This window comes from Homo sapiens, chromosome 7 (assembly GCF_000001405.40).
Source record: "Homo sapiens chromosome 7, GRCh38.p14 Primary Assembly".
NCBI lineage: Eukaryota > Metazoa > Chordata > Mammalia > Primates > Hominidae > Homo > Homo sapiens.
The window spans coordinates 79,763,884-79,784,538 of record NC_000007.14 but is presented as its reverse complement, the minus strand read 5'-3'; the positions used below and the strand labels follow the sequence as shown (position 1 = coordinate 79,784,538).

The 20,655-nt window shown below is 36.3% G+C and overlaps 1 long non-coding RNA gene across 1 annotated transcript in view; it reads right to left on the bottom strand.

Moving 5' to 3' along the window:
* LOC105375371 (uncharacterized) overlaps positions 1-16,514 on the bottom strand; it is a 71,222-nt gene extending 54,708 nt beyond the window's left edge. Inside the window, exons 1-2 of the long non-coding RNA XR_927707.3 lie at positions 16,410-16,514; positions 11,539-11,610 (exon numbers count right to left, since the gene is read on the bottom strand). This is a non-coding gene — a long non-coding RNA (uncharacterized LOC105375371). The remainder of the gene's footprint in view (positions 1-11,538; positions 11,611-16,409) is intronic.
* Positions 16,515-20,655: the final 4,141 nt, after the last annotated feature.

Sequence of the window (20,655 nt, the reverse complement as noted above, 5' to 3'; positions counted from 1 at the left end):
AGGAATATATCCTTGACTGACCCTTTCTCTCACTCTCTCACCTCCTGACAATGTCTGTCATTGACTGAACCCAGGTGGAGACCCACTAGCATGGATCCCAGAGAATGCAGAGTTCAGTGACTGTCTTTCCTTTTCCTGTGATACACAACAAAGCATAGAAATTTTGACATTTCTACAAGGAGAACTACAAAACACTGCTGAAAGGAATCAGAGATGACAAAAATAAATGGAAAAACATTCTATGCTCATGGTTTGGAATAATCAATATCATTAAAATGACCATACTGCCCAAGACAATTTACAGATTCAATGCTATTCTTTTCAAACTAACGAGGTCATTCTTCACAGAATTAGAAAAAAAACTATACCAGAATTCATATGAAACCAAAAAAGAGCCCAAATAGCTAAAGCAATGCTAAGTAAAAAGAACAAAGCAAGAGGCATCACACTACCCAACTTTAAACTGCATTATAAAGCTATGGTAACCAAAACAGCACGGCACTGGTACAGAAAAGAGAAATATAGACCAATGGAACAGATTAGAGAGCCCAGAAATAAAGTCGCACACTTAAACAACTATCTGATCTTTGACAAGGCTGACAAAAACAAGCAATGGGGAATGACTCTCTACTGAGTAAATAGTGCTGGGATTGTTTCCTAGCCATATGCAGGAGAATAAAACTGGACCCTTACCTTTTACCACATAAAAAATTAACCAAGATGGATTATAGATTTATACGTAAGACCTTACACTGGAAAAATTCTAGAAGAAAACCTAGGAAATACTCTTCTCTACATCAGCCTTGGAAAAGAATTTTTGAAAAATCCCCAAAGCAACTGCAAAATAACCAAAAATTGGCAAGTGAGACCTAATTAAACTAAAGAGCTTTTGCATAGTGAAATAAACCATTAATAGAGTAAACAGACAACCTACAAAATGGGAGAAAATATTTGCAAACTTTGCATCCAACAATGGTCTAATATCGAGCATCTATAAAGTATTTAAACAAATCAACAAGCAAAAAACAAAAAACTCTATTTAAAAATAGATAAAGGATATGAACAGACACTTCTCAGAAGAAATACAAGCAGCCAGCCAATCAATATTATATATGAAAAATGCTCATCATCACTAATCTTCAGAGAAATGCAAATTAAAACTACAATGAGATACCATCTCACACCAGTGAGATGGTGGTGAGAATGTAAATTAGTTCAGCCACTGTGGAAAGCAGTTTGGAGATTTCTCAAAGAACTTAAAAGACAGCTACCATTTGACTCAGCAATTCCATTACTGGAATACACAAAGCAAAATAGATGATTGTAACAAAAAGACACATTCATTTGTATGTTCATCACTGCACTGTTCACAATAGCAAAGACATTTAATTAATGGAGGTGCCTATCAGTGGTGGACTGGATAAAGAAAATGTGGTATATATACACCATGAAATACTACACAGCCATAGAAAATAACAAAATCATATATTTTGCAGCATCATGGATGCAGCTGGAGGCCATTATCTTAAATGCATTAATGCAGGAACAGAAAACCAAACACCATGTGTTCTCATTTATAAGTGGGAGCTAAACATTGAGCACACATGAACATAAACATGGAAACAATAGATACTGTGGACTATGGTGGAGAGCGTGGGTTGAAAAACTACCTACTGGGGACTATATTTACTACCTGAGTGCAATATACCCATGTAACAAACCTGCACATGTACTCCCTGTATCTAAAATAAAAGTTGGAAGAAAAAACCTTTTGTTGAGAGAGAAATAGATCTGATGGCAAAGCTTTTTAATATAATTGTCTAAGATATATGATACCATCTGTATCTTAGACTTTAAAACTCAGACAATAGGTTATTTGGGGGATGGTAAGTATTGGTTTTTACAGCACCATCATCACTAATCAGAGAAATGCAAATCAAAATATCTTCTACCAGTCAGAGTGGCTATTATTAAAAAGTCAAAAGACAACAGATGTCGGAGAGTCTGCTGAGAAAAGGGAACACTTACACCCTGTTGGTGGGAGTAAATTAGCTCAGCCACTGTGGAAAACAGCTTGGACATTTCTCAAATAACTTAAAACCGAGCTACCATTTGACCCAACATATAAACAGAATATAAAGCCTGAAAATTCTGTTTGAATTAAGGCTTATCAAAATCCCTTATAATAGAGTCACCTACGGTTCTGACCATACAGATGAAGATTTTTTTTTTTCAGTACACTATGATCATCTAAGAGAGTATTAGCTTGTATTCATTTATCTGGCCAATTAATTCACACTTTAGGAACTGATTCTACATAGCAGAGTTTACTTCATTAGGATAAAGTTTGGCAACCACATGTCTAAGTGCGGGGGAAAAGGGTGAAGAAGGAAAGATTATAACAACAATAACAAGAAGGAACGATTAGGATGACATTTTGGTCAGAAACCTGGGAGGCAGCAATACCAGGATAGGAAGACTAGGACAAAAAGGGAAATGAGGACTATTGAAAGCCACCTTATCTACTTCAAAGTGTGGATCAGAGCTGTTCCTGATGTTTCCCAGACATGGTTTCTGTCTGGGCTTAGTAGCTGATTTATCTTTAGGAAGAAAAATATAGCAACAAGAGGTCAAGTGAAAACTAGGGCTTATACTGAACCTATGTTTGCTTAACAAAACGCAGATTCTGTTTATTTTGGCTAGGGGCAAGGAATATGATAGAGACTACACAAGATCAAGAGTTTTCTCCAAGCAAACGCTGGACCCTGCTGTAATCTCTGCTGTTTATTTCTTTGTATGTATAGTGTCAAGTCAACGTCGACATATTTTTCCTCATTTGAATCAAACAGGCTTCTGTTTCTACTCTGTTTCTATTTCTCATATTATCTTGCATATGTTACTCTTTTTCTAAAATAAAAAATAAATTCAACATTGGTTGTCAAATGTCTTCATTAATCATGAATGCCCCAATGCAGTGTAATATAGAAAGCATGGTTTTCTTTTTTTAAGAATGAAATGTAATCTTTAGGGGTGACATTTAAAATATGTTTCTTAGCAAAAGTCTTATGATCTTTCTTTGACATATTCTCACCTGGATAAATTTAATTTTAAATTAGGAATGGTAAAAATTTAAAATCTTTTTATTTAATATGTAATATCTTAATCATGAAGATAAAGTTTAATAGGACTGCATGTTTATGTTTGTATTAATGGTAGGACATGGAGATGTATCAATCAAACCAATAAAACTCCAGTACACATAATATAAATGTCATCTTGCTTTGGTGGGTGAGTAGCATTGTGAACAGGATTTCTTGTCAAGTTGGTGCTGTTATTGAGGATATGAGAAGCAAAGTTCTTGAGTAGGTAATATTCATGCAAAATTTTCTGTTTCTAAATATCTTCTAAATACTCTTTCAATTATAAACATCTTGGAATTAATAAAATGCAAATACCATAGGGGAATATGGAGTTTGGAGTTTAAAAATCATATAATGATTCTTTTACTATAAGTTAGTTGGGTTGAAAGATTTTAACTTTATTTGGAAGCCCCAAGGAATACGAAATTTAGTATAGAAGGCTCCCCTAAATGAAAATCAGAAAATTAGTAACAATCAGCACACAGGAAGAGGCACTCTAAGAAGGAACCCAGGAGGGGCCCCTGGAGATTTATTCTAGCATGTGTCCTCAGTGTGACTTTTTCTTCTAACTCTCCTTTACTACTACATGTTTGTCTTACATTGGACTTCCCATTTTTATCCCTATCTCATAGGGCTATCTATTAAAGTTACTGCTTTCTAATCTTATTCTTATTTAAGGTTTCTTAAAAAATTTGGCCCAGTCACCTCATGTCCTCCTCTCACATTGTTTCAACTTCAGCAATTTCAAACTGTTCCATGCTCTTCTATATTTCTAGACAAAAATAAATCCATATAATTTATCCTTTCTATCCAGGCAATTTGGGCCATGCTTTGGCTTGCCTGCTTTTAGATTAGATAGCCATCTATGGTCCAATCAGTTGTGATCAGAAACCAAATGTTCCAAAGTGAGATGGAAATCACTCTTACAAGCAAGGTTTTATAGCAGTTTTGGGCTGGGCACAATGGCTCACACCTGTAATCCCAGCACTTTGGGAGGCTGAGGTGGGAGGATGGCTTGAGCCCAGGAATTTGAGACCAGCCTGAGTACTGTGGCGAAACCCTGCCTCTACAAAAAACTGGATTAAGAAAATGTGGCACATATACACCATGGAATACTATGCAGCCATAAAAATGGATGAGTTCATATCATTTGCAGGGACATGGATGAAGCTGGAAACCATCATTCTCAGCAAACTATCGCAAGGACAAAAAACCAAACACTGCATGTTCTCACTCATAAGTGAGAATTGAACGATGAGAACACTTGGACACAGGAAGGGGAACATCACACACTGGGGCCTGTCGTGGAGTAGGGGAAGGGGGAAGGGAAAGCATTAGGAGATATACCTAATGTAAATGACGAGTTAATGGGTGCAGCACACCAACATGGCACATGTATACATATGTAACAAACCTAAACGTTGTGCACATGTACCCTATAACTTAAAGTATAACAATAAAAAAGTAGAAAAAAAAAACAAAAAAACCCATAAACACATAACATGTGAACATAAATATTTGTGATTTAAAAACAATCTATATTTTCCAAAATAAAAATACTTAATGAGAAAAAAATAGAAAAAACATTTAAAAATAATTAGCCACAGGTAGTGGCACATGCCTGTAGTCTCAGCTACTCAGGAGGCTGAGGTGAGACAATCACTTGAGCCTGGGAGGTCGGATTCGCAGTCAGCCACGATTGTGCCACTGCACTCTAGCCTGGGCAACACAGCAAAACCCCATCTCCATAAATACATACATAAATAAGTAAATCAGTTTTGGTGGTGGTTGGTTGGAGGGGTGAGGTGGTGGTGGTGGTAGTTAAGTAACAGCGTGATTTCTTAACACAGACAAAATTTTCTATCAGCCCCAGCTCATTTCAGATTCAGTCATGGAAGAAAGAGAAATGGCTTTCGTTTGCTAAAACTTTAATGCCATATATTTTTTGGTCAAGAACAACCTCCAAAATGAGAAAAGTGAGGGCCAGAGAGGATTAGCAACACATGCCCTCTTATACCACTAATTACGGACATTGCTGGGACTAATTTTAACCCAGGAGTTCTGTTTCGTGTAGCACAGGAAGCTGTTTCCAATTCCTTATTCATGTAAGACTGCGCAAGAACAGAAAGGAAATTTTTTTGCCTGTGAATGAGCAATACTTGCACAATGCCTATTTAGCATACTTCTGCAGATTGTGGTTGACCATGGCTTTGGGGAAGACATTAACTGATATGCTTAAAGCCTCTGAACAACTTGTACCCATCCTGGCTTTCAAGGTACTGACACCCACATAGCAGGTTTCTTGCTCAGGGCTTTGTTTTCTTTCTGTATGTAGACTATGAAAACAGAAATAGGAAATTTGGTTAGTGCCAAAAAATATTTGCCACTTTCTCTACCTAAGCCATGTTGCATAACTCGGATGCTGTTTATGAGTTACAATCATAGCAAAGATGCCACTACTTAGAAATGATTCAGAATCATCAGAGGATGAAAAATATTATAGAGAGAGATGATAAGAAAAAACCACTTTTCTGCAAACAAAGTATTTGGATTTTAGAAAATAATTAAATTTGGTGCTAAAAGAGAACAGCTTGATCAGAGTTGTTGATGGTGATCTGGTCAAAATGAGGAACAATGCAAAGGCCAGATAAAGTGTCTGCTGTCTTTCCCACTCCTTCATACACCACTCAAGCGACTATTAAAATGTGTAAATTTGAAACATTTGCCATGTGTGGATTCAGGAGACTCCTGAAAGATGAGATCAAGTAAGAAAAGGAGAACAGGACTTTTAAATGATCAATTAAATACAGAAAGAAGAGAGATGAAAGGAAAATGTCAAATGCAAGAGGTAAGAGAGAGGCAAAGAGGATGGGAAGAAGGCAGGCAAAATTTTGTCTCAGAAAGCTTCAAAAATAGTGAACAAAGATGATGCTGGCCAACTGCAACATGGACATCATGTGCTGCAGTAGCTTTCAACCCATTTTTGGTATGCAGGGTACATTTCTGAGACAATTATAATTGAAGAAAATTAACACAAAAGTTACACATTTCTTGGTACCTAACAGTATAGCTCCTTTATAAATTTATATTGTTATATTTAGAAGTAGTTATGTTCCTGATTCTCTTTGAAAAAGAGGGAAAGAAAATACAAGAGGGGAGAATGTTATTGATCATCTATTTCAAAAGAAAACAGTAACTGCCTGGCTCAGCTAAAGTCTGTACTGATTATTCTTTACAATGTCATGTTTAAACACCATGGGGTAGACATTTCCCACGGAGAAAAAGGAAGAAAAATCATGTTACGATCCTGAGTACCAGCTCTGTAAGACAATGCCCAGTTTCTCTTGAAAATGATACAAGTTAAATACTACAAAGGTTGTAGAGTTATGCTTCTTGTGTTAGAATTGGGATGAAGGCTCTGCAGCTAAAGAATACACATTATAACTAATTGATTTAAGAATTCAGAAAGTAAATCTTTAGAAATCTCCTACCCACAGACTGAAAATTGAGCCCCCTACTAGAGAGTATTACATCTCTGAGCTAAGTTTAGAACATGACCCAAATATCCAAGACACCTATTAAAAAAAAAAAAAAAAGTAAAAGGATCTCCTCACTCTGACTCCTGGCTGGTTTTGTTTTACAGCATTATTTTCTGCAACTCCTTTTCTATACTTCATGGAAAGGAGCCAAAGCCCTAAAATCCATTGTTCATCATTGAAAATGGATGCACTATTCCATCAGGACTGATAGTACGACAGTTCAAAAGGACTTAGATCATCCAACCAAATGTTGATGAAAAATAACTTACTATTGTTTCAAGTAATGTTTTCAAACCCATTTAACTTTGCCGTTTTGCTTCTGTAAGTTACTAATAAGAGAAAAATTAATTTTCTTTGTCATTTATTTTAATATAAAAGTAAAGAAAATTTAAACAATTGGTTAATTTAATAATAATTTAAATCCTTATTTATACAAATTTGGATTAATTTAATAATAATTATGAAATAATATATTCTACATTAGTTTAATTCTTGACAATAAACATACTTCATACTTATTTTATAAATGAATGTATTAATGTCATAGGAATTCGAAATGTTATTCCCCCTCCTTCTTTTCCTATCATACCACCTTCTCTTTCTTTTGCTTTTCCTCCCCTTCCTTTAACTTTACTTTATATTCTGAAGTTCTGCAAATATAAGTTTCTCCATTGCAAACATGCATTATTGACTCATTATTATCCTACCTGATAGTAGATCGTAACACTTTTAGCAGAATGACAAGAAAAAATGTTATTATGAAACTTTTTTTTAATTGTTTTTATTTTAAGACAGGTTCTTGCTCTGTCACTCAGGCTGGAGTGCAGTGGCATGATCACAGCTCACTGCAGCCTGGAACCCCTGGACTCCAGCAATTCTCCCACCTCAGCTTCTCAAGTAGCTGGGACTACAGGCATGAGGCACCACTAGTGCACCTGGCTAATTTATTTTATTTTTTGTAAAGATGGGATCTCACTATGTTGCCCAGACTGATCTCAAACTTCTGGCCTCAAGCAATCCTCCCATTTCTGCCTCCCAAAGCCCTGAGATTACAAGTGTAAGCCACCATGCCCAGCAATATCGTTAACTGATAAATTTCCTTGTTTTTTTGTAGTATTATGATATACACTGGTTTTCATCCATGGTTCCTGGCTTATAACTCCCATAGGCATTGTTACAGCTTTTTGTTACAGTGTTGGTTGTGTTAGGCCTCAGGGCAGGCCTCTGACCTTCTCCTCCCTTCCTTTCACTGTAATGTTTCTCCACCTTTCTTACTGTGGGTCTTAGGACCCTCCCATGAGAGAGTACCACCCTATAAACTGGAGGAAGGAATGTGAATGTCATGAAGCTTCCATAAAAACCCAAGAGGACAGGGTTCAGGGAGCTTCAGGAGCTGATCACGTGGAGGTTCCTAGAGGGTGGCACAGCCAGGGAGGGCATGAAAGCTCCGTGCCCCTTTCCCAATACCTTGCCCTATGCATCTCTTCATCTGTATCAATTGCAGTAACCTTTTTAATAAACTGGTAAATGTGTTTCCCTGAGTTCTTTGAGCCTCTCCAGCAAATTAATCAAACCAAACTTTGATTTGGTTCATGGGAACCCCAGCTTGAAGCTGATTGATCAGAACTTCTGTAGGCCCAGACTTGCGACTGGGTGGGTGTGAGGGAGCAGTCTTGGAGACCGAGCCCTCAGCCTGTGGGATCTGAGACTATCTCTGGGTAGACAGTGTTGGAACTGAGCTAGACGACAACCAGCTGGTGTCTGCTGCTTGGTATGTGGGGGAAAAAACCCTCACACATTTGGTCACAAAAGTTTTCTGTGTTGATGATTGCTGTGGTGTGAGGGTAGAGGAAAAACATGGTGAAAGCAAGTTTTCCCTACACAATTTTATGGATTTTGTTTGTTTTGTTTTGTTTTGAGACAGAGTCTTGCCCTGTCACCCAGGCTGGATTGCAGTGGTGTGATCTCGGCTCACTGCAATCTCTGCCTACTGGGTTCAAGCGATTCTCCCGCCTCAGCCTCCCAAGTAGCTGGGATTACAGACATGCACCACCATGCCTGGCTAAATTTTGTATTTTTAGTAGAGATGGGGTTTCGCCACGTTGGCCAGGCTGGTCTCATACACCTGATCTCAGGGGATCCGCCAGCCTCGGCCTCCCAAAGTGTTGGGATTACAGACATGAGCCACCGTGCCCTACCTGATTTTATTGATTTCGACGCAGGCTACAATTCAAAATCCAACTTTTGGAAGCATTTCTGAAAGAGGACATAAAATGTTGCTAAAGAGTGAACAGCTCATGTATAGATTATTTAAAAACCCATCAAGGGTTAATATTGCAAAAGTAGAGCATCTCAGTCATGTATAATTACTTATCAGTGTTTTAAAAATAAAACTGCATGGCTCTCAAATTTTTGAAAGCCTAGATGAAAATGACTTAAAATTCTGTTTTCATTGTCTCTGGCTGAGGGAATGAACGAGATGCTTTTGTGATTAAAAGCGTTAAGAATTCTGTATAAGTCTTGTATAGACTTCAAGTTTTTTTTTTCCTGTAAATTATCAAAGTCTTTTTCAAATGGAACATTGTGTTTGCCCTTTTAAATTTATGATGGATGTTATACACTTAACATTATCATGACAACTGAAATGTGAAAGCAATGGACCTACAAAATGTAATTTTTATAAAATAATCCTGGCATTTGTCAACCACAAAAGTGGAAAGTATTCTATCTCAGCATCTAAACTTTTTTTTTACCTAACTTAACACATAAATTTATTTTTACTATTAAACAGACTTCTTGTTTCTTATTCAAGGTCTATATAATTACATTATTCTGGATACATTTTTGTTTTCCTTTATGAGAATAAGTTAGAATAACCTCACAAAAACAAATTCAGCAAATATTAGTTATTTACTCTACTTTATATTATTCACCTTAATTTGTGATTATTATTTCCTCCAAAAGTCAATGTTTTATTGAATTACCAATAACCATAGTATTGGGATCAACACTACATGTTAGCATTAGAGTTATTTACATTAACTCTGTATGTTTGTGGAGAAGCTCATAAATAGATTTTATTAAATGCTCTTCTGTATTTGTAAGTGCATATTTGCTTTTGTTTGTTTGTTTAGTACCTTTATATTTTGGAGCATACTGGAATTTTGCTTTTCACCTTTATTTTTCCAAAGTGTTAGAATTTAACTTATTTCCCTTAAAAGTCTAAAAGTTATTTGTGTTGTCAATTAGAATTTGAAATAACGAATCGAGTAATCTTAAATAACAACAATAAAAATTATGTTCAAAGTTTTAGCAGTTTATGGATATTTATGTTTCTGGACAAAAACTTTTTACAGAGATTCTCTCTAATTTCATCCATATTTTGATCATGTAGAGTCTCTGATCACTTTTGATGATATACTTTCTAATTTATATTCAGTAAAATTATGAGATACTTACATAAGTGAATAGAAAAGGTATATGAAGCATGCTTTGGAAGCCACTCATGGTGAGTCAACCTGGAAGAATCTCTAAGCTTGGAGTTAGGCTTTCAGAGTTCCAACTCCAGCTCTTTCTTACCTATTATCTAGCTAACAAATTTGATCCATTTATGGGGCTAATTTTAATATACATTCCTATTCTATATATTTTATACAATTTATGTGATTATAATTTTAAATTATGTCTGCAAGAAAACTTTGCTAATTTAAAAGAGCTATGCCAATATGTAGTCATATTATTATTATTATCTATATTATCAAATAGTGTTTTAAAAAAAGCAAGATAAGCTAGAAATAAGAAGAGCATAATATGTCCAATAAAGTAAATTTCCATGGGGAACACTAAGGAGAAAAACCATGAGTAATCTCTTTATAAGGGCTAAGAGGTATTCTTGACATTATCGGGATACAAATCAAAACATGATGAAGAATTTGGGCCATTTTAAAATTAAGTATAGTCTTACATTAGGAATATCTTTTTCTCTTGTTAAATAAATAATAGTTCTGGTAAGCTGATCTTTTAAAAATATCAGATTTTGCTTTGTAGATGGGAAAGTCTTTCAATGACGGAAGTAAAGGCATATTTCTAAAAGTTTAAGTGATTCCAGCAAATTAACAACATGGATTTCACCTTTCCACATCTGTCAATTTCAACTGTGATTTTACTGTGTTGTTATTTACCTTATGGTAAAGTTTAGCCATCCTTTCAAACTTTTGTGGAAAAGTACCAAATATTAGTTGCCATCTCTCCCATTAATTTAATAGGTTTGAAAACAGAATTAACAAGATTTTCTTGTTTGTATAGACAGATACGCAGATTTTAGGCAAAGGTGAAAAAAAAGTGTTTATTACTCTGTAACCATTCTCAAGCTCATAAACAGTTCCTAGACCATAAGGCTTTCGATGTACTGTTTTAGAAGGCTCTAATCAAACCATGTTACATTATACCTTTTAAATTTTAACAAAGAGAGCACCCATATGTAAAACAAATAAACATACAAAAAAAACCCCACAAAAGGATTAGCAGACAAAACAGAAGTTTTGAAAGTATCCAATTGACAGCACCAGGGTAATAGCACTGGCAGGCTATTTTAAGTCAATTTTTCTATGCTATTGAGTAGCTAGTATTTCATGGTTGGAATATCTATGATAAGCTGTGGGACCTATGGGTAGGTAGTAATACTGATTAATTCACCTGTTTTCATTCTCTGCATGTTGCTAGAAACTGCTTTCTTGTTCTCCTTTCCAGTAAACACTTAATATTAAGACTTACAGTGCTTCATTGTAGAAATAAAGGAAAACTGGCCTTGGGCCACATTTGTAAATCTACGTTCAAGTACGCCATCAATCAAATCTTACCCAAATGCCAATGTGCAGCTGGGTATCACAGATGTTCAGTAGAGCCACTCCTTTCCTTTCCACAAAACAGATCTAGGGAACAAATTTAAAACAAAACAAAAGAAAAAGAAACAGAAGAAATTAATTTTATATTAGGACTCCTTTTTCTATCAACCAAAGCTTCTTGTTGTTGACTGATATATGAGTTTGTGTTATTTACAGATTGACTGTTATTGGTACACATTTAAGCATATTCAGAGTTCTCTTTCTCTACATGTTTCCATTTCATTACTTTTTCCTTTATTCTAAATATTCATGTGACTAACATAGGATAGTTGTTACTTTGAAACACTCTATAGTACCTTTTACATTGCATTTTACTTTGGTGAATGTTTTTTGCTTGAATGGGTTAGAATATTTGGAACACTGGTTTTAATGTATTGGTTTGACATGAAGTGACACTAAAATGATATCCCCGGGGCCTTATGTTCATTCAACCAAGTTAAATAAGATTCTTGTTCTTAAAATGAAGAAAATGTAGATATCTGCAATACTGCAATATTCTTGGAAGCTTATTGAAAATTTGACTATTTTCAATAACGCCTGCATTCTTCAAGCTTTATTCTATACTTTCCTAATAGTTAACATATACAAGTATTTTATAACATTACATTTCAGTTCATGAAAGAATAGTAAATATTTTTATTTGAAAAATATTTTTTAGCCAAGTATTACATTTTGTACATTAGGTGAGCTACATTATAGATTACATTTGCCAATAAGTCTTTCATAAATATATTGTAGGAAATAGCAGAATTGGCTGAGAATATGCACATTTGTAATCTTACATGCATGAATTTTGGAAAGGAACACATGATAAAAATTTATAAATAGTTGAATTATAGTATTAAATTACATGCAGCCACACTTGTTTTAAAAGAAATGATCAATTTCCATACTAAAAGAAGTGAAGAAAAAAAACTGTGGTACTCAAAGAAAATATTTAATGATGAAATATTTCAAAAACTTATTATTCTAACCTTCTTCCATTTTTGGTCAACTCTCTATCTCTCCAGAGATATAATTCATAACACAGTCTAAGGATACATCACTTCTTATAAATAACCTAATTGTACCGAGACATTTTAGAAGCTGGCAACATGAATTGAGAAAAAAAAAGCAAACATTATTCCTAGTCATGTTTTTAAAGTTAATGCTCTTCACTAGGAGTATTTTTCAAATGTAGAGAGTAGAGAATACAAATATAATAAATGCATCCCTATCTGATGAAAAGCAGTGACTATTCAGACAATGTCTTCTACTCAATTGGGTCTACCCAAGTTTCTCATATACACATTTATTTTCATATTTTGTTTTAAATGAAGCAACACTGCTGGCAAGCCCTCAGTTTGATTTCCTAATTAGTATAAAAGCTGGTAGCTGAATGGCAGATTTACCAGCCAGTTTTCCCTTATTTCTACAATGAAACATTGTAGGTCTTAATAATCACGTAGTTTGGCTCTTTTCATTACAGATTTTGATTTTAGAATATTCTAACAAATGTTTTAATTTTAAAAGGTACTTTAAGTTGGGAGCACTCAAATTACATCAAAGAGTTAAAATGTAAGTTCAGACCCCCAAGAGAGTTTATAATTTTACTTGTGTATTAATACCTGAAGGGTTTTATATTTCATCATATCAGATGATTTTTGAAGTCTTCATTGTAAACGGCAAAAACCACAACTACCTTTGCACCAACCTAATATTAAGGCTGTATTAGAAATTCATCATAACAACAATGTAGAGAAGTCAATTGTATGGGACAACTTCAGAAACTGAAACTGTCTTCAGATGAAAGCCTTTTCTTTCATGTTAGTAACCAAATGTACTTGAAAAGGATTTAAGTTAAACTGATGACCCCTCAAATGTTGTTCTTAGGCTATGATTTGTATAAGTATTCAACTTCTTATCATGAAATATTTTTACCAAGAATTCAGTGTTTAATCCAAACTTTCTTTAATCTAAACTTTTTGTATCATTCTTTATTGCGGTGGTTAAATGGCTCTGCGCAAATAGAATAACATCACCTACATAAAACATATTTGTGTCTTTAAAAAATGAGCTCTAAGTCATTTTAAACCAAGGTAAGTTGTAAGTGAAAAATCTAAAATCAAAAATGATTGGTGAGAAAGCTGGCTTCATCTTATAGAAAACAAGTGTATTTAGAAAGTTACTTATTTTCTTTCTTATACATCCTATTTTCATAATAAAATGTAAATATGTGTTTCTCAGTACAAATGTGTAAAATTATATTTAAGTGTATGTTATGATTTTCAAATAAAATAGTATAAATTTATTTCTAATAATATCCAAGTAAAATTAACAGCACTCAATAGCTATAAAAGATATCTGGGTTTATTTGAACATTTGCTTCAAAAGTTGTCAAAGGGAAAATAAATACTGTTTATATGACAGAAAACAAGTATCAAAAATCCTGTCTACAACAGGCTACAATTCAATTTTCTTTTATATTCTGATTATTCCCTAGCACTTTTTTAAAAAACTACCAATAATCTTTTTTGAATAAAAGTAAAAAGGAGATTTAAACACACAAGCCGAAATTGAGGAAGGAGATTCAAAATGTATTCATAGCGAACAAACTGGAACAAGGAAGAAAATACATATAAAATTGTACACATTTTTTTTTCCTGGTGCTCTGCCAAGCATTTTTTAGTTTTTGACCTCTTTTAATCTTCACAGCAGTCTTACACAATAGGCATCATTATCCTCTTTTTATTGGTGAATTCAGACTTGGTCAGAGTGCTAGTAACAGAAAACACACACACACACACACACACTCAATTTAAAGCATAATTTAATCATAAACTCAGTTGCCTTCAAAGATGTGGCTTTTTAATTTTTCTTTTAACCTCAAAATGTTCTGAAATAGCAAATTTTAGCATATCAAGTTTGATCAGCCAACAGTATTTATTAATGCCTCTAGTTTCCTACTGGGTGACTTCAGTCACTTCCTATCACAGCTCCAACCTGCTATATGTGCAATTCCTGATCTGGCTCTTCACAGATACTAATGGCCTAAAAGTGGCAAAGAGATCTGTCTGGGAAAGTGCTCACTCAATTAAGATTACTGGCATACTGCACCAGTTCTAACATGCCAATCAGAAGCCAATGATTGCTATTAAAATTTTGGCCATTTCACATCCCTCTAAGTCTCTCTGATCAAATTAACAGTGAACCAAGGGGAAAAGGTGTGATGGTCTCCCTTTTTTGCTTATGAATTATAGGTGCGCTTAACCTTCAGATTTATATTAACTGCGAAGGTCCTGTTGAAGAACAAAAGTCTACTATGAAATTTAAGAAACTACTGGGCCATGAAACAATACACTATTTAACTTACTTCATTTGCCCAACTCTTTATCACTCTTACGAAGTATCCATAAGGTTCCCTAAGTTTTGCCTGTGGGCCAACTTCACAATGAGCTGCAGGTACAAATTAAAATGCGGATTCCTAGGGCCTCTACAGACGTAATGTATTAGAATCTCTAAGTGTGGTTCCTAGAAATCTGCTTTTTTAAACATGCTTCCTGAATTAGTTTTAAATACACTGGCATTTAAAAGTTGCAAACAAAGCAACCACACTGGTCAGTAAACCCCAGGACCTAAAATTAAGACAAAAGACATTTATGCAGAACAAAGATGATTGGTATCAGTAATTATTTTGTACCTTTAATTAGCTAAGAAACCCTGGGTGAAGGGTTTTCAAGGAATACAACAGGCAGAAAGGACCCAAGGTAATCATTTTCAGGAAGATTGCATACCCAGCAAGAATTTAGTAGATAATTTAATCTCCTTTTTCTTCTGAGCTTTCATATTTTTCTTATTTGTAAAAATAGTACATATATATTCCTATATATGCACAAATTTATTGAAATATCTTACAAATATCATAAACACGAGACAATAAAACAAGTGTCTAACTGGCTTTTTTTGCAACACTCCTTTTATACAATCAGAGTAAAAATGTTAAATGGCTATGTTTACCAAAATATTATAATTTAATCAAAACTCTTTTATTGGCTATATTAGGAAAACTTCTCAAATAGGAGCTCAACTTTGACTCAGGTTAAAACTAGTTTGTTCTAAATAAATGTATTGATGCACACTACGTTTATTTAAACTTTAATTTGTACTCTAGAACAAAATTATAAAATTGTTCATTTAATTGCCAGCATTTGCTTGGGGTCTTTAACACAGACATTTGAGGCTATTCCTTTACAAGAATGGTATCAATTTTAACCACCATTGTGTAGCAGGACAATTTGCTCCAGAGAAAAACCCATTGTGCTTTTTGTTCTCCAATTTGCTATCTATAAAAATGCCTATCAACCGGTCATCTATGTTTTAAGCCCTGCATGCATTAGGTATTTCTCCTAATGCTATCCCTCCCCCTGTCCCCCACCCCACGACAGGCCTTGAGAGGTGACAGTGTGCTGGCAGTCCTCACAGCCCTCACTCGCTCTACGCGCCCCCTCTGCCTGGGCTCCCACTATGGCGGCACTTGAGGCGCCCTTCAACCCACCGCTGCACTGTGGGATCCCCTTTCTGGCCTGGCCAAGGCCAGAGCCGGCTCCCTCAGCTTGCAGGGAGGTGTGGAGGGAGAGGCGGGAGCGGGAACCGGGGCTGCGCGTGGCGCTTGCGGGCCAGCTGGAGTTCTGGGTGGGCGTGGGCTTGGCGGGCCCCGCACTCGGAGCAGCCGGCCGGCCCTGCCGGCCCCAGGCAATGAGGGGCTTAGCACCCGGGCCAGCGGCTGAGGAGGGTGTACTGGGTCCCCCAGAAGTGCCAGCCCACCGGCGCTGCGCTCGATTTCTCACCTGGCCTTAGCTGCCTTCCCGCGGGCAGGTCTCGGGACCTGCAGTCCGCCATGCCTGAGCCTCTCACTCCCTCCATGGGCACCTGTGCGGCCCGAGCCTCCCCAATGAGCGCCGCCCCCTGCTCCACGGCGCCCAGTCCCGTCAACCACCCAAGGGCTGAGGAGTGCGGGCGCACGGCGCGGGACTGACAGGCAGCTCCACCTGCAGCCCCGATGCGGGATTCCACTGGGTGAAGCCAGCTGGGCTCCTGAGTCTGGTGGGGTCGTGGAGAACCTTTATGTCTAGCCCAGGGATTGTAAATATACCAATCAGCACTCTCTATCTAGCTTAAGGTTTGTAAACACACCAATCAGCACTCTGTGTCTAGCTCAGGGTTTGTGAATGCACCAATGGACACTCTGTATCTAGCTAATCTAGTGGGGACATGGAGAACCTTTATGTCTAGCTCAGGGATTATAAACGCACCAATCAGCGCCCTGTCAAAACAGACCACTGGGCTCTACCAATCAGCAGGATGTGGGTGGGGCCAGATAAGAGAATAAAAGCAGGCTGCCCCAGCCAGCAGCGGCAACGTGCTCAGGTCCCCTTACACGTTGTGGAAACTTTGTTCTTTCGCTCTTTGCAATAAATCTTGCTACTGCTCACTCTTTGGGTCTACACTGCTTTTATGAGCTGTAACACTCACCACAAAGGTCTGCAGCTTCAATCCTAAAGCCGGTGAAACCACGAGCCCACTGGGAGGAATGAACAACTCCAGACACCGTGTCTTTAGAGCTGTAACAGTCACCTCGAAGGTCTGCAGCTTCACTCCTGAGCCAGCGAGACCACGAACCCACCAGAAGGAAGAAACTCCGAACACATCTGAACATCAGAAAGAACAAACTCCAGATGTGCCACCTTAAGAGCTGTAACACTCACCGCGAGGGTCCGTGGCTTCATACTTGAAGTCAGTGAGACCAAGAACCCACCAATTCCGGACACAGCCTCAGTGTGTGACGTTCCGCTCCCTGTGTCCACATGTTTTTATTGTTCAACTCCCACTTATGAGTATGAACATACAGTATTTGGTTTTCTGTTCTTGTGTTAGTTTGCTGAGAATGATGGCTTCTAGCTTCATCCATGTCCCTGCAACGGTCCTGCACTTATTCTTTTTCTATGGCTGCATGGTATTCCATGGTGTAGATGAAGTTACAACAGAAGGATGAATCCCTTTATGTAAGGAAAAATGTGATAGTTCTCAATTGGTCACCCTTATTTCTCCTGACCTCAGAGAAATTTTGTTTAGTTTTTGTCTCAAAAAACACAGGTGTGCCTCTTCTCTCTCTGGTTTGATGACCTAGCAAGATAGAACTGAAGGCACAAAGCGCTCATTAGATAAAAGGTGTCACTCTTACTGTTTACTTTTTTTATTAATACGTTCCTAACAGTTGCATCTTAGTATGTCTGCAGTACATATAAGAATTTGAGATGCAGAGAGAAAAGTTATCCTGAGTGGGAACATAATTTTAAAAATATGCCTACTTCAGTAGTATGTTTCTCTTTTACATTTACTGTAGTTAATGAGCCCACTACATTCTCTGTGTAGTATTATTTAAAAGCGTGGATTGAGAATATAAAACCACAGTATTTAAAATCAACTAGAAAGTGTCTTATGCCTCTGGCATATTGTTATACCATGTTTACTGTCACAGGAATATCTAAATAAGTTTTCTCTATTTCACAAGAACTGATTCTATTTAACTTTTATTTCATTAAAAAATTATTGACTGCTGCTTATTTTGTATTTTCCCATTTTTACTGTATATTAGTAAACAATGAAGGTGTCTTCTTTAAATGGTTTAATAATTATAAATCCTATAGGATATGTTATTTCTGATATAGTCTAATTGAGTGCATTCCCTAGAGAAGCTACCGTTTTAGTAGACTTTTCACTGTCGGCATTCCGTGTACACATCTTACGGGGCTTCATTTACTGATGCCTAAATCTTTAACCTGAGAGATAATCATAAAGATAAATACTAATTCAGAACCCTTCACAATGTAAAAATCATTTAAGTCCTTTCATTTACAATGTATTATTTAATTAATCAAGAATGGGTTGCCCATTTAATTTATGAAGAAAAAAAGTGAATGCCTTTGAAATCTTTGCTACAAACTTAGGTGGACTCAAAAACAAAATCTGTGCTACAAGTATATTTCACAGCTTTCTATTAGACGACTTTCATTCCTGTAACCGTTTCAATTTTCTTCACAGTTTAAAGAAAAATATTGGATTTGCCTCTACATAAGACTATATCTGTTCATAAAGTCCACCTAGATTAGCTGAACCAGTAAAATTAATCAAGGATTAAAATTAATACCTACATATAGGCACAATCTAAGTTGGTTGATTACTACTGACATATAAATCTGCATTTGTTCTTGTGACTCGAGTCTTGAGAAAATTTGAGAGCTCTTGGGAGGTTGAAGAAAACTTGTTAAGATTGGTGAAGTTGTGGAGAACACGAAAAAAACAAAAACAAGAGTTCAAATAGCCAAACACTTTATTGGCAACCATTTTTTTGATCTACAGCAGTGAGTGATTTGAAGTGAAGTCTGGTGATGAACTGTTTGGGAACAAACATCTCATCCACCAGAAGTCAGCATGACAAACCAAATTGATGGAAGCAGAAAGGGTCTGAGAGGAATTCAAAATGGTACCACGACTCCCAGCAAATTGGACTGAAGTCCTCTGCTTGGCCTGGAAGTAATGAGAAATGAGACCTGACTGAAAAGACTATTTGAGCACAGTGGCTACAAATATTGAGTGGTAAAATAAGGTCTGAAGGCCAGTTTCCTCATTGTGTGCCCTAAAGACTACAGTTACATAGAAACATTAGGAACAAAGAAACGTCATGTTTGAAAATAGCAAAATTTTAACAGACCTGAATAAGAAGTGAAGAAGAAACTTCCAGGGGAGCCTCCAGTGGCTCAGGATCAGCTCTTCATAAAACACCAGAGTAGTGGGGATTGAAAACTGTTTGTGCTTTTCCAAGATTTTGCAGCATTGAAAGGGTAATGCTTTCCTGGAATAGACGTTCACTTTCTTAAAATTCAAAGCTCGTATAGGGTTCTTCGCTTTGCCGTCTCTTTCAAATCATGCAGAATCACCCAATCCTAGTTATATTATAATGTGTTGGCCAGAAAATTGCTATTGTCCACTAATTTTGTTCAAGTGTCCAGTTGGTTCATCTAGCACTTCTTAAATATTTGATAAGTTTTTTCCAGGAAACTGGCATTTTTTTTTCTGTCTGGATCTGTATCTCCCTCTGTCATTGCACGTAGGTCTAAATATACATGGCCAAATATGTGTATGTTTGTATATATTAATCCCACTACCCAAAGACCATCAGAAACATACCTATTATAGTCAAACACATTTATGTGTATTAATTTGCTACAGTAAGGAAAATCATGCACCATGGAAATTGTGGAGAGGGAATTAAGAGGGACTTATGATAGGATTATTATAAATTCAATCTTATTCGGGATAATTTGAGGGAAAGTTTAAGGAACTATTGGTTTGTTTGGAATTAGGTACTGTCAGGTAGTAGAACCAATTTGTATTAATTTGAATAGGAGGTGGGAGATGCTAAGTTGGGCTGGAATTGTCACTGGAGAAGAAGCAGTAGTCATTCATATTTGCCAGGAGAGAAGGATATTTGTCATTGTGATGTTTGCACTTGTGGTGTGTTGTCTTGTTCCAGTTTGGTGACAGAGTGATCTCATCTGATGCTAACATTCTCTGAAATTGTTAATGCCCAGCAGGGCACACCACAGCATGGTCATGAGCTGCCAAGCTGGCTACAAGCTATCAGCAGCTATACAATTTTTTCTCAGCAGCTATATTTTTTACCGGAAGCACTAGCTAATTAAACTTTAATTTCATAGTAGCTTAATTAAAACCTTCTTAATGTAGAATGGATAAATCTGAGATGAGTCTTATAAGCAAGTAAGAAGAGACTTCATAATCATCTAACAGATCGGTACCTCTATGCTTAGTCAAATAGATAGATATGAACGTACAGTAAGGGATGCTGCAATAATGTTTTGCCACACATTTTGTGAAACATTGAAGTATAATTTTTTAAAGACACAATTTTAAAAGAAAAGAAAAGAAAATTAAAAACACAATATTAGGCTTTGAGGAATTTAGGATCTATTAAAAATTGTAAGTAGCCACTAATTTAAGGTGCAAGATTTTTGA